At 52.9% G+C, this 13066-nt stretch overlaps 1 protein-coding gene across 8 annotated transcripts, besides 5 other annotated features; it reads right to left on the bottom strand.

The window, feature by feature from the left end:
* Nucleotides 1986–2075: an enhancer, noted in NCBI's record as "active region_5247". NCBI's record gives its function as "activates an Ori minimal core promoter by ATAC-STARR-seq in GM12878 lymphoblastoid cells {active_cell/tissue: GM12878}" and the evidence as "EXISTENCE:reporter gene assay evidence [ECO:0000049][PMID:35858748]".
* On the bottom strand, nucleotides 2369–10899 carry UCP2 (uncoupling protein 2). Of its 8 annotated transcripts, none has more exons than NM_001381945.1 (9): nucleotides 10418–10540; nucleotides 9173–9329; nucleotides 7712–7749; nucleotides 5950–6174; nucleotides 5583–5793; nucleotides 4520–4714; nucleotides 4338–4439; nucleotides 3188–3368; nucleotides 2369–2818 (listed from the first exon to the last, which is right to left on the bottom strand). In NM_001381945.1, exons 4-9 carry the CDS (start codon nucleotides 6073–6075, stop codon nucleotides 2704–2706), a joined length of 930 nt encoding a protein of 309 aa, NP_001368874.1. In that variant the 5' UTR covers nucleotides 6076–6174; nucleotides 7712–7749; nucleotides 9173–9329; nucleotides 10418–10540; the 3' UTR covers nucleotides 2369–2703. The 8 variants fall into 8 exon arrangements, with proteins under 8 accessions (NP_001368874.1, NP_001368876.1, NP_001368872.1 ...); NM_001381947.1 differs by having other exon boundaries at nucleotides 7633–7749; NM_001381943.1 differs by lacking the exon at nucleotides 7712–7749 and adding an exon at nucleotides 8369–8626.
* Nucleotides 8066–8125: an enhancer, noted in NCBI's record as "active region_5248". NCBI's record gives its function as "activates an Ori minimal core promoter by ATAC-STARR-seq in GM12878 lymphoblastoid cells {active_cell/tissue: GM12878}" and the evidence as "EXISTENCE:reporter gene assay evidence [ECO:0000049][PMID:35858748]".
* Nucleotides 10451–10660: a silencer, noted in NCBI's record as "silent region_3751". NCBI's record gives its function as "represses an Ori minimal core promoter by ATAC-STARR-seq in GM12878 lymphoblastoid cells {active_cell/tissue: GM12878}" and the evidence as "EXISTENCE:reporter gene assay evidence [ECO:0000049][PMID:35858748]".
* Nucleotides 10961–11120: a silencer, noted in NCBI's record as "silent region_3752". NCBI's record gives its function as "represses an Ori minimal core promoter by ATAC-STARR-seq in GM12878 lymphoblastoid cells {active_cell/tissue: GM12878}" and the evidence as "EXISTENCE:reporter gene assay evidence [ECO:0000049][PMID:35858748]".
* Nucleotides 11377–11877: an enhancer, noted in NCBI's record as "H3K4me1 hESC enhancer chr11:73694725-73695225 (GRCh37/hg19 assembly coordinates)". NCBI's record gives its function as "activates a minimal SCP1, AML or CMV promoter by ChIP-STARR-seq in primed H9 embryonic stem cells {active_cell/tissue: H9 hESC(primed)}" and the evidence as "EXISTENCE:reporter gene assay evidence [ECO:0000049][PMID:30033119]".

A 13066-nucleotide genomic window follows, 5' to 3' on the forward strand; every position in this document is an offset into this window, starting at 1 on the left:
GCCAGCTGTGTGCCTTTGGGCAAATCACTTCACCTCTCTGAACCCGTTTCTTAAAGCTTACAGCCCCTACCTTGCAGGCCTTTCATGGAAACCAGATGGTGAGGCATGAAATGCTCTGGGGCAGGACTCAGGTGGAGTGGGATGGTGAGAGCTGCCCTGTTCTGAGGGCAAGCCCTGAATTGGAGTGCAGAGGCAGGGCTGTGAAATTCTTCAACTCTAGGTCTCCTGTAGGGCAGCAGGAAAGCCTACTCCTTATCTTGAAGGAAGCCTGGGTCTTGGGCCTGAAAGTCCCTTAGGAGATTCCTATTACCTTAGTGATCTTCAGTGTTACCTTGAATTAGGCAAAGCAGGGCTTATCATCTGCCCACTTAATAGGCATTAAAGGGTTGGGAACCAAAGAGAAGTGATCTACCTGTGATCAGAATGAATGAGACCCACTGGTATGTTTTCCAGTGGTTCCTACCACTGTTCCCAGCTCATTGTCCTAAGGCCACACCCAGAACCACAGTGAAGTTGGGTAGCCTCGTGTCTATTAAGGCTGCTGAATGAACCAGCTGACTTGCTCATGCCCACCCAGCCTGTTTAGCTTTGACACACACCTACCAAACTGCCCCTACTTCTTCCCGTCCAGAGCAGAGCTAACAAACAGCCTGCCTCACAGAATTAGTGTAAGAAGGTACATAAAGTAGTGGCCAGGTCCTCTGTATATGCCACCCCCTGCAGCCTGGCTGAGCTGCCTGTCACCTTTACCCTGGTTTGCCGACTTATGGCACTCAACCCTGTCCCTCCCGAGGACTATGGGGCCTCAGCTCAATTTGTCAAAAACTAAGAAGCTGAAGAATCCTGGGCCCTCGTTCCTTCTCCAAAAACCAATCTAACACCCTGGCCCTCAACCCAAGCACTGAAGGGTCTAGCCTCCAGCTCTGACCATTGGGCTTACGAGGCGGCGAAGCAGCAGTGGCTTCAGCGGCTTGAGGCTGAGGGAAGAGGGAGGGTGGTCGTGTTCTCAGGGCCTAGCTCCACAGCTGCCAAACAGGCTTCCCCAAGGACCCCAGCACTGGTCTCTGGGGGAGTCCACAAGGGGAAGGAGGACTGGGTCCCGGTCCCAGTTCAGTAGTGGACTTTCTGGGTGTTCTTGCCTGCATCACCTGTGTCAGGCCTCAGTTTCTTCAGACACCTACAAACTGGGTCTGAGTGACATAATTCTAAGGGCCCAGCCCTACAGGAGATGCCTTGGGATTCCAGGACCTCACAGTCTCCACTCCTTGAAATTGTAGTACCCCTGCCCACCTGCCTCTGAGTGCAGGTGATAAGAACAGGGACAGAGAAGCGGAGACCCCTGTGCAGCCAAGGCCCTGGCTTCTTGCGGCCTCCTTGGATGCCTAGCTGGGGCAGGGGCAGGTGGAGGGGGGTTGTGGTGGTGAGACTCCAAATGGAAAATATCCTGGCCAGGCACAGTGGCTCATGCCTGTAATCCCAGCACTTTGGGAGGCTGAGGTAGGTGGATCACTTGAGGTCAGGAGTTTGAGACCAGCCTGGCCAACATGGCAAAACCCCGTTTCTACCAAAAACACAAAAATTAGCCAGGTATGATGGTGTATGCCTGTAATCCCAGCTACTTGGGAGGCTGAGGCAGGAGAATCGCCTGAACCTGGGAGAGGTTGCAGTGAGCCAAGATTGCACCACTGCACTCCAGCCTGGGTGACAGCAAGTGAGACTCTGTCTCAAAACAACAAAAAACACAAATGGAAAGTATCCTCAGGCAGAGACCAGATGTTTGCCCTGCAGCCTCCACCCACCCTCTGTGGAGTCAGGGCCTGCTCCACCCAGTTCAGTAACATTTCCTCTGTGGGTGTGGCTGTGGCTGTGGAGGGTGGAAGGAGGCTGACTGACTTGTTCTCACAAGGTCTGGGACTTTGGGGGAGGTGGGTCTTCCTTCCATTTGTAAAATGGAATAAAATAAAGTCAACAGCATCTAAGAGTCTCATGTTCCTCTGGAACTGCAGGAGATGCAGGGCACACAGGAGCACTCTTGTTGTGCAGATAAACAGGCCTGCGGCTGGGGTGGGGGGTTGGGATGGCAGGCACTAGAGTACCAGATTCTGAGTAAGAGCTCAAGTGGCCCGGCAAAGGAAGGGGAGGCACTGCTGTCTCTCAGGTGGCTCCTGCACTCCCCATGTTAGTACAGGGCCTGGGTCTAGAGAGAAATGGACCAGATGACCTACACGGGCTTCAGATTGGATGCTGGAGGTGGAAGGTGGATCACACCCATTTTCAAAGTCAGGTGGTTCCTCCCCTGCCCACCAGGTACCAAAAAGGCCATTGGACCAAGACCTCTGGTAAGAGCTACAAGAGAGGGAGGAGACGCCAAGGTTGAGCTTGCTTTATGGATGACAAGTGGGCTAGGCTGGGCTGTCGGGGGCAGGACGAAGATTCTGGCTGAACTTTCCAAGGGACGGGACGCTTGGGATCCTGGCTGGTACGAGGCCTCCCACACTGTCAAATGTCAACTCCACCAGCACTGAGACAATGAGTAGATGAGAATGTAGAAAGAGGGAAGGTGGTAGGTAAAGGAGCGGAAGGAAGAGGTGGGGAAAGAGGGAAGGAGAGAAGGGAAGGAGGGAAGAGAAAGAAGGAAGAAAAGGAAAGCATGGCCCGGCTAGAGACAAAGCCAGAGGTGATCAGGTCAGCAGCAGGAGAGGCTCAGAAGGGAGCCTCTCGGGAAGTGCAGGCAGCCATGAGGGCTCGTTTCAGCTGCTCATAGGTGACGAACATCACCACGTTCCAGGAACCCAAGCGGAGAAAGGAGGGCATGAACCTAGAGGAGAAAAATCACAGGTCATGGGGGCACCTCCACCTCCCACTTCCCTCACTGGGCCTGGTATTCAATCCAACCCAGTTGCTCTGTCCCAAAGGAGGCTGGGAGGACTCAATGAACTGAGCTCACAGCTGCTTGGCTATAAGCATGAATTCCCTTTGAGTCTCCATTTAACACCTAATAAACAGTGATGGTAGCAATTCTGGGAGGAAGGAATTAAGGGGATAGGTGAATGCTGGTGAAATGCCAGGACCAGGATCAGAAATAGTCACACTTGGCTGCTACTCACTTCCAGGTGGTTCTCTCCCACCCACAATAGACATGCATAGCCAAGAGGCCTGAACTGGGTGGGGAGGACCAGAGGCTCACCCTTTGTAGAAGGCTCGGGGCCCCTCCTTCTGGAGCATGGTAAGGGCACAGTGGCCAGCGCTACTGTACTGGCCCAGGGCAGAGTTCATGTATCTCGTCTTGACCACGTCTACAGGGGAGGCGATGACAGTGGTGCAGAAGCCTGCCCCAAAGGCAGAAGTGAAGTGGCAAGGGAGGTCATCTGCCAAGGAGGAGCAGGCAAGGCAGTCAAGATCTTCACCCATCATTCCAGAAGGCAGGAGAATTACTTAAGTAGCTACGAGTTTTCATGATTTTAAAGAGACAGAGAGGCTGGGCACAATGTCTCATGCCTGTAATCCAGGACTTCTTTTGGAGGCCGAGGTGGGTGGATCACTTGAGCCCAGGAGTTCAAGACCAGACTGGGTAACATGGCAAAAACCCTGTCTCTACAAAATACAAAAATTAGCCAGGCACAGTGTGCATGCCTGTAGTCAGCCCCAGCTACTCAGGAGGCTGAGGTGGGAGGATTGCTTGAGTCAGGGAGGTCGAGGCTGCAATGAGCCATTAATCACCCCACTGCACTCCAGCCTGGGCAACCGAGCAAGACCCTGTCTCAAAAAACAAACAAGAGGATGGGGCGCAGAGGCTCACACCTGTAATCCCAGCACATTGGGAGGCCAAGGTGGGCAGATCACTTGAGGCCAGGAGTTCGAGACCAGCCTGGCTAACATGGTGAAACTCCATCTCTACTAAAAATACAAAAATTAGCCAGTGTGCTGGTGCACACCTGTCATCCCAGCTACTCGGGAGGCTGAGGCACAAGAATCGCTTGAACCCAGGAGGAGAAGGTTGCAGTGAGCTGAGATTACACGGGTAACAGAGTGAGACTCTATCTCAAAAAAAACAAAAAACAAACAAACAAAAAAACAAAAACAGACAGGGACTCCAGCTGAGACATCTTCTGAGGACCTGAAAGAGTCATTTTGCCAATCTAGCCTCAGTTCCTCAATGTGCAAAGTGGGAGCTTCATCCCAATTGGCTTCAATATGGCAAGTAAGAGATATCTTACTCTCCCTGCAAAGGGCAAATAGGATGAAAAGATGTGGTCTTCTGGTGTCAGCTAGACCCCCGCACCTGCTCCTGGCATGGGGGAAGGGTGAGACCCAGCACCGTCTACCTCATGACTCACCTGTCATGAGGTTGGCTTTCAGGAGGGCATCCTTGATGAGGTCATAGGTCACCAGCTCAGCACAGTTGACAATGGCATTACGAGCAACATTGGGAGAGGTCCCTGTAGGAGGAGGAAGATCCTGGGTGAGACCAGAGTATCGGGGAGGAGGAAAAGGGGAAGGGAAAACAACTGGTACACACCTTTCCAGAGGCCCCGGAACCCTTCCTCTCGGGCAATGGTCTTGTAGGCATTGACGGTGCTTTGGTATCTCCGACCACCTCCAGCCCGGGCCTGAGCTTGGAATCGGACCTTTACCACATCCGTGGGCTGGGCCACAGCCACAGCCAGGGCACCTGTGGTGCTGCCTGCTAGGAGGCGGCTCCCAATGCTGGCATCTGTGGGCGAGCCATGGGGTCAGTGGCCAGCGGGCTTGCACTCATTTTCTACCTCATCTCTCCTCACCAAAACCACCCTGTCACTGTCATCTCCTGCTTTTGGGAATAGAATCCAGAAGCTTTTGGCCTTCTACAAGCTCTTGCTGTAAGAACTCCTCACATCAAACAAAATATCCCTATGAATATCTACTTCTTGCTAGGGACATAGCAAGGGCTAAGACCAAAATGAAACTTGGTGCTTTCTTTCATAAAACATTTTCATTTACCTGCTCAACAGCCCTGAGAAATCACAATCATTTCCATCTGACAAATGTGAAAACCAAGGCTCAGAGAGAAGTGGCTTTCTGAGGACTGGGATTCCTAAGACTTGGGATCTCAGGTCAGCTTTACTTCTTCCTGCCATGTGATCTGGGAAAGACAACCTTTTGTCTGGGGCTCTGTTTCGTCATGTGTAAAATGGAGGGTTGGCATGGCATACTAAGGAGGTGAAAGGGAAGAACGCTGGCCTTAGAGACGAGTGTCCTGGCTCTCTACTGTGTGTTTTCTGGCTCTCTACTGTGTGCCCCTGGCCAAGTCCCCACTCTACCCACTGCCTTCCCACCTCAGTCTCTTCTTCTATAACACTGGGATGATACTACCTACTCCCAAGGTGGTGTTGAAGACTGTGATGGGATGACGCCCTGCTCAGAGCCTGGTATAGCCCAGGTGCTTAGGAACTATGTGGAGGACCAGGGCCCCTTCCAGTTCTCTGTTCCCCTGATCTTCCTAGGGATCGTGGGGCCTAAAAAACTATATGGCTGAATGAACTAAGATCAATCATCACTGAGAAAAAAGGGCCAAGGGGCCTACACCCTTGCTCCATACTCACGCTCAGAGCCCTTGGTGTAGAACTGTTTGACAGAATCATACAGGCCGATGCGGACAGAGGCAAAGCTCATTTGGCGCTGCAGGCCGGCAACCAGCCCATTGTAGAGGCTTCGGGGGCCCTCAGTACGCACCATGGTCAGAATGGTGCCCATCACACCGCGGTACTGGGCGCTGGCTGTAGCGCGCACTGGCCCCTGACTTTCTCCTTGGATCTGCAAGGCCAAGACAGGGTAGCTACAGGGATAAGCATGTTGCCCTTCCCACCTCCAGTCATCTCGATGCTCCAAACACTGGCCCTTGAGGGGTCTGTGTCTTTGGGGAGGGAACAGAGTAGACACCATCAAGACTCCCAGGCTTCATCCCCTCACCTGTAACCGGACTTTAGCAGTATCCAGAGGAAAGGTGATGAGATCTGCGATGCAGGCAGCTGTGCCAGCCCCAAGAAACTTCACAGTGGCAGTAGGGGGCACATCTGTGGCCTTGAACCCAACCATGATGCTGATTTCCTGCTACGTCCCAGGAGATGGAGAAAAACTGGAGACAGGGGCACCTTTAATCAGCAACAAGACGAGATAGAGGAACTCTGCCGGAATCTAAGCCAAGAGGAGAAAAGCCCCATTAGCCACAATGTCCCCAGGCCCTCCCTGCTCACCATCCCCAAACTCACCTTCCCTAATAGAACCAAGTCCCTCAGCAAGACTCCAAGTGGCCTCATGAGGGAAAACCGATGTGAGCTCGAGAGGCACTCAGTTAGGTGCTGGTGAAGCAATTCCTGCTCAAGCAGTCAATACTTCATGAAGGGCTCCCTCCCTTTCACTGCAGGGAGAGTCTGGATCAGAGCTCTCCTAGCGCTGCCTCATAAACAGCCACTGGACCAGCCCTTTGTCTGCTGTATGCAGAGATTTCACTGATGATGCCCACATTCCTGCTTCTGTGGTTCATCTGGAGAGCTGACAGAAGTAGAGAAAAGTTTCACCCAGACTAAGACCCAACAGGCACAGACCCATAGGCTTATGTTCTGGATGTCTAAGCAGGAATGGTTGCTACAGGTCTGGAACTTAAGTCAAGAAGAAAAGGTACAAGATGACTAATTCAATCCCTTCCCAGACCATCAGTCTAATTCTCTCCTCCAGCTCTCACACAGCTTAGGATCTCTAGAGTCATTGTTTTAGCAAGACTGCTTTGCTGGGCAGTGGTTCACTGAGATGCAGGAGATAGTATCTACTCTAGAGGAGGCTTACTGTTGGGCACAGGGGGTGGATGGGCAGATGATTCAAGCTGCATTTGGGGCTTACAGGACATACTCTCAAAATGCAAAGGAGGGAACAACTAATGCCATTGGGAGAGAAGGAAGAGTGGGTGATCAGAAAAGACTTCTTGGGCTGGGTGTGGTGGCTCACGCCTGTAAACCCAGCACTTTGGGAGGCTGAGGCGGGCGAATCACCTGAGGTCAGGAGTTTGAGACCAGCTTGGCCAACATGGCAAAACCCCATCTCCGCTAAAAATACAAAAATGAGCTGGGTGTGTTGGCACACGCCTGTATTCCCAACTACTTAGGAGGCTGAGGCAGGAGAATCACTTGAACCCAGGAGGTGGAGGTTGCAGTAGCTGAGATCGTGCCACTGCACTCCAGCCTAGGCGACAGAGCAAGACTCTGTTTCAAAAAACAGACAAACAAACAAAAAAAAACCTAGCACTTTGGGAGGCAGAGGTGGGAGGACTGCTTGAACCCAGGAGTTCAAGACCAGCCAGGGCAACATAATGAGACCCTGTCTAAAAAATATAAATAAAAATAAATTAGCTGGACATGGTGGTGCAGGCCTATAGTCCCAGCTACTTGGGACGATTGCTTGAGCCCAGGAGGTTGAGGCTGCAGTGAGCTGTGATTGTGCCACTGTGCTCCAGTCTGGGTGAGAGAGTGAGACCTTGTCTCAAAAAAAAAAAAAACAAACCCCAAAAAACCTAAGGACTTCTTAGATAAGGTAACATTTAGCTAGGTGATTTTGGGGGCTGAGAGTAAACTCTGGGGCATTAGACTCCTCCTGGCCTACCATGTGATGCAGAGAAAACTGCTCTCCTTTTTGTTTGGGCCAGTTTCCTTTCCTCCAACTTAGGGGGATCCGCACTTACACCACAAGACAGGCAGGGATGAGGGGTCCAGGTCAGAGCTGTGAAGAGTGATAAAGTAAACCAAAAGCCCCATTTTGTTCTGAGTTGGAACCACACCCTCCTCCACTGCCCCAGGAGGAAGTGAGCCCAGCACCCTAGTGGGGGAGGGTGACCTGCTTCTTCCCCTGAGCTTATTTCTTTGACTTCATTGGAGCAGCTGCTTTGAGCCCCGCCTGACTGCCTTTGTTGCTGGGGCTCAGGTGAAAGGGCTGGCTGGTGAAGGGAGTCAGCTGTGAACACAGAGACCCATGGAAACAAACAGCTCACCCAGCTTCCTCTTGGGCTTCTCACTCCAGGTGGCTGGGGCAAGCAGGGAAATGAAGATACTCACCATAGCAACTACACTGGGACCTATAGAACAGGGCCTGACCTTATTCCTGTTTCCCTCCAGCTTGCCCACGAGGCTCAGTGAAGACTGGTGCTCAAATGACAGATTGGGTTGATGAAGGTGCCCTCGGACTCCCCAGATTCCCTGCTCTGACACCCCCTTCCCCCAGGAGGTGCTCCACAACTTTCCCCACCCCAACGCCCAGGGCACTGTATTAGCTCAATCCTCAGAGCAGCCCTGCAAGGTGGCTGCCCTTATTTCCATGTGAGATGAGTAAGAGCCACACTTACAGGCACCAAAGCTGGTAGTATTTGCTTTGCACTGCTGCCCAGCTCCTCAGTTCGTTCTTGCTGTTTTATCAGCCCCAGGCACAGACAGGGCCTTTCACAAGGAAAGTTCTCACAGGCTGATTAAACAGTACTGAGAAGGCTCAGGCAAATGGTATCCCTTCTCTGGGCATCAGAGATATGATGACATGAGTCTGTCACATTCCTGACCTTGAGCTGGGTTGCAGGATGTTGTGAAGGCCAGAGAAGAATAAGACCCAGCTGCTGCCCAAAGACAAGTGCACAGAGGTTCAGCTGCCATATTCTGAATGTTGCCTTGGGCTTGCCAAGTCAGGTCCTTCAGAGGGTGGGTAAGATGGCCCTACTAACAGCAATTAAAATGCAGGACTAGAAATAGTTAATCCTATTTTACAGTCCCCAGCAAATAACCAGTTTCAGAGCCGGGCTGATTACCAATCTCGGTTTCAGGGATAGTCAAAAGCTAGCATCAATATGAAGTTAGAACAATAGGTTCCTGTCCTAGCTCTTCTGCTGGCTCCCGGGATGACTTGGGGCCAATCACTGTTACACGTGGGCCTCAGTTTTCTCCTTTATAAAATGGGGACCAAGATCCTTGGCTTGTCCGAGTCAGCTGAAGGGCCAGAATGAGAGCGGGGAGGTGTGAGAGTGCTCTGTGAACTGGAAAGAGCCACTTCACTGTCGGGGGTGGGGATGGTAATTATTTTTGTTAATGCCCTGCTGACTCCTGCCCCTAGACCACAGGGTTAGGAGGCAGCAAGAGACCTCTTCCTTGGACTGGACTCTTACCCGGCTTTGTAAGGTCTCACGGTGAGGCCTCCAAGATCAAGCTTCTCTAAAGGTGTCCCGTTCTTCAAAGCTGCCAGTGGCTATCATGGCCCGATCCCCTTGGTTTTCCATAGAAAATGGGTGGGAGACGAAACACCTAATGGTCATACTATGTGTCCTGTGGGTGAGCAAAGGCAGAGAGTTTAGAAAGGGCCACCTGCCCCAAGACACACAAGCCCACCCAATCCATGCCTTGGAGGGGGATGGGGAACAGGGCCCAGGGACTGGTTAAGTGCACACACTGGAAAGGGGAAAAGCAGGGCGGAAAATGAACCTAGGTACACTCCCCACCCCCACCCCACCTGCTTAATATCACAAATTGGTTCTCATCCAGACTTCTGCTTTTGTAACACTCAGTACTCTATATAAGCACCCCCTAGCACAGTCATCAGACTTTGGTGAGTGGGAGAGTTGTGAGGGGGTCACGATGGGACAGAGACTCTCCGGGAATTGGCTAGGTCCCAGGTCGGGCTGTGAGGAGGTTGGAAGGGCTGGGAGCCGGCCCTGCAGAGGCCAGATTGAGCAGCTCAAAGCCCACTAGAAAAAGCCCCCAAGCCCTGGGAAAGGCGGTGCAGGAACACTGCCTGGAGCTGCCTGGTAAGGGAGAGGTCATTGTGGTCATCGCTGATGGTCCCCATCCAAGGCAGGGCTCGGCATCGTGGTGGAAAGGAGGGAGTGAAAAGGTGGAGGCTCAAACGACAGCCAACTGAACGGGAGAGGGAAAGAACAAAAGGGACTAAGAAAAAGAGAGAAGAGAAATAAAGAACCAAGGACAGAAAGGATTAGCACAGGCCGGACCCGGAGGCTCATGCCTAAAATTCTAGGACTTTGTGAGGCCGAGGCGGGCGGATTGCTTGAGCTCAGCAGTTCGAGGCCAGCCTGGCCAACATGGCGAAACCCCATCTCTACAAAACACAAAAATTAGCCAGGCGTGGTGGCGGGCGCCTGTAATCCCAGCTACTCGGCAGGCGGATCGCTTGAACCTGGGAGGTGGAGGCTGCAGTGAGCCGAGATCGCGCCACTGCACTCCAGCCTGGGAGACAGAGCGAAAGCCTGTCTCAAACAAACAAACAAAAACAAAAAATAAAACCGAGAGAAAGAAAAGAGTACAAACTTGGGTGGGAGAGAAGGTAAATGGAAGAGCGGGCAGCGCACGCAGAACAAGCGTGGGGGGCGCAAAGGGCGCAGGGCTGGGGCCAGGCTCACCGAGCCGCAGGGAGAACACGGCAGTGCGTGCGGCTGTGTCTGTCGGCTGGCGGAGGGCGCGTCGGACGAGCCGGGCGAGCGTGGACAGTCAATCCCAAGGCGCGCGCAGCTGGGCTTCGCAGTGGGGCTCCGCGCAGGCGGCGGCGCGGCTTAAGCCTCGGGGGCGGGGCCCGGGGTGGGGCCTGCGGGGCGGGGCCGGGCCTGCCAGCTCCTACTTGGGTGCGGAGACCCTGGAGCAGCCGCCTTTCCGCGGGGACCGCCCCGCCTAGGGTTCTCTCCATGACTTTCTCCACTCCCGTTTCCGTGCGTCCCATCACCGCGTTTACTCCTTCGTTCCCCGAGATGGTCACTCCCTTGCCACTCCCCGCCTCTGCCTCACACTCTCTCGGGCCGCCAACCTCTGTGAGGATGGCAAGACTGACCGCCAGAAACAAGTCTTGTCCAGTCACACACCTCTTGCCTTCCCAGCCAGGACGGTTTCTAACAGCGTCCAGCGGGGCCGTGTCTTAAGTGCACTTCCTCTTTTATGGGCCCAGCCCCCCTACGCTGGGCAAACTACCCACCCTCCTGCGAGCGAGCGCGCGGCTGGCTCCTGCAGGGCGGGACTGGGGCCTCGCGACCGGCCTCGCTGTCGATTGGTTACAGCCGCCGCGTTGTCGGGGGAAGGAACCAATCAGAACTGCAGCAACAGGTGGCCCGGCAACCGACAACAGCCGTTGGGCTCGGCTGGGGTTCGCGCCTTCTCCCCCGGTGGAGCGGCCTGGCGTTTAGGGACCAGGACACTAAAGGCCCCGGCGGGGCGGGAGCACCCAGCGTGACCTCACGCTCCTACACACAGACAAGCAAACGGGCCGGCCCCCGCACGTGACAAGGCAGAGCCGGGCCCAGGCCAGCTGCCTGTCCAGCCCTGGGATGAGAAAAGGCGTCAGGAGATGGACCGGGCCTGGTTCGCCTTTAATTGGCTGACCCGTCCTGTGGGGGTAACTGACGCGTGAACAGCCAACAATTGGGCCCTCTGGCCGGGACAAACACGTGCGTTTGGGGAGTAGAAGAAGGCTGGTATTAACCTCCATTTTACAATGAGGAAACGGAGTCCCAAAGACGTTCAGTCATCTTCCTGATATTCACACACTTACACCCTGGTCAGGCCGGCGCCATATGTGTTTTCACCAGCAGAAGGGACTGCCAGGGAACAGCTGAGGGGACCAGAGCTGGGATGGGCCTGGATAATTATAGCGGAAAGAAAAACACGCCGAGCGCATGGTCCTGGCAGAAGCAGCGTGGAAACAGAAGTCAAGGCAGATTATTTCTGCCATGAGGAGATCTTGCCATGTAGGAAAAAAGAAAGAAAGAGAGGAAAGAAAGACAGAGAGAGAGAGAGGAAAGACAGAAAGACAAGAAAGAAAGAGAAAGAAAGAAAAGAAAAAAAAAAAGAAAAGATAAAGTTTTTTTGTGGCACTGTGAGTCTCCCTCCGCCAGGTTCTCTAGCTTTTGCGCTGAGCTCTGTCTGGCTGTGCATTCCGGAGAGGCTCGGCAAATTTGCTGTGAGATTGCTGAGCAACAGCAGAACAGATGCAAAGGCCTGCAGACCAAAAATTGTCCCCCTGGCTGTCCAAACAGGGAAGAATCTGGATTCCAGAAACTATATACTTATTATCCTTGGCAAAAGAGACTGTTAAAAGTGTGGACGCTGAAAAAGGGAAGTGGAGATCAACAGGACGCAGCATGAAGTCCTTAAGAAGTCCTCTTTGAAAAAGAAGATGTGTTTAGGGTTTAAACTATTTTTATTATTTATTTATTTAACTTATTTTTTGAGACAGGGTCTCTTTTTGTTGCCCAGGCTGGAATGCAGGTGGCTGGGTCTCAGCTCACTGCAGTCTTGACCTCCTGGGACAAGCAGTCCTACTTCTGCCTCCCTAGTAGCTGGGACCACAGGGATGAGCCACTAAGCCTGGCTAATTTATTTATTCTTTGTAGTGACAGGTCTCCCTATGTTGTCCAGGCTGCTCTTGAACTCCTGGCCTCAAGCAGTCCTCTGACCTCGGACTCTCACAGTACTGGAATTACAGGTGTGAGCCACTGTGCCTGGCCTCAAGAAATTCTCTTAAATTCTTTCAGGGTGGGGGCAGATCTGAGCAATCCTATAGACATACAAACGCTGCACCCTTGGATTTTTAGCAGCTTGCTCAAGTCATAAGATGTCCTGTGGACAAACTGGAGAATGTATGGGTACAGATAAATGTATTTTGAAAACTTGTAGCCAGGTGAGGTGGCTCACGCCTGCAATCCCAGCACTTTGGGAGGCTGAGGCGGGCAGATCACCTGAGGTCAGGAGTTGGAGACTAGCCTGGCTAACATGGTGAAACCCTGTCTCTACTAAAAACACAAAAATTAGCTGGGAGTGGTGGTAGGTGCCTGTAGTCCCAGCTACTCGGGAGGCTGAGGCAGGAGAATCGCTTGAACCCGGGAGGCAGAGGTTGCAGTGAGCTGAGACTGCGACATTGCACTCCAGCCTGGGCGACAGAGCAAGACTCTGTCTCAAAAAAAAAAAAAAGAAAACTTGTTTCACATCTATTTCATTGAATTGTGTGTACACGCACACACACACACGTTTATTTGTAAATATTTTGTATGTGCCAATAACCAAAT

The sequence above is a fragment of the Homo sapiens genome, chromosome 11 (assembly GCF_000001405.40).
Source record: "Homo sapiens chromosome 11, GRCh38.p14 Primary Assembly".
In the NCBI taxonomy this organism is placed as follows: domain Eukaryota; kingdom Metazoa; phylum Chordata; class Mammalia; order Primates; family Hominidae; genus Homo; species Homo sapiens.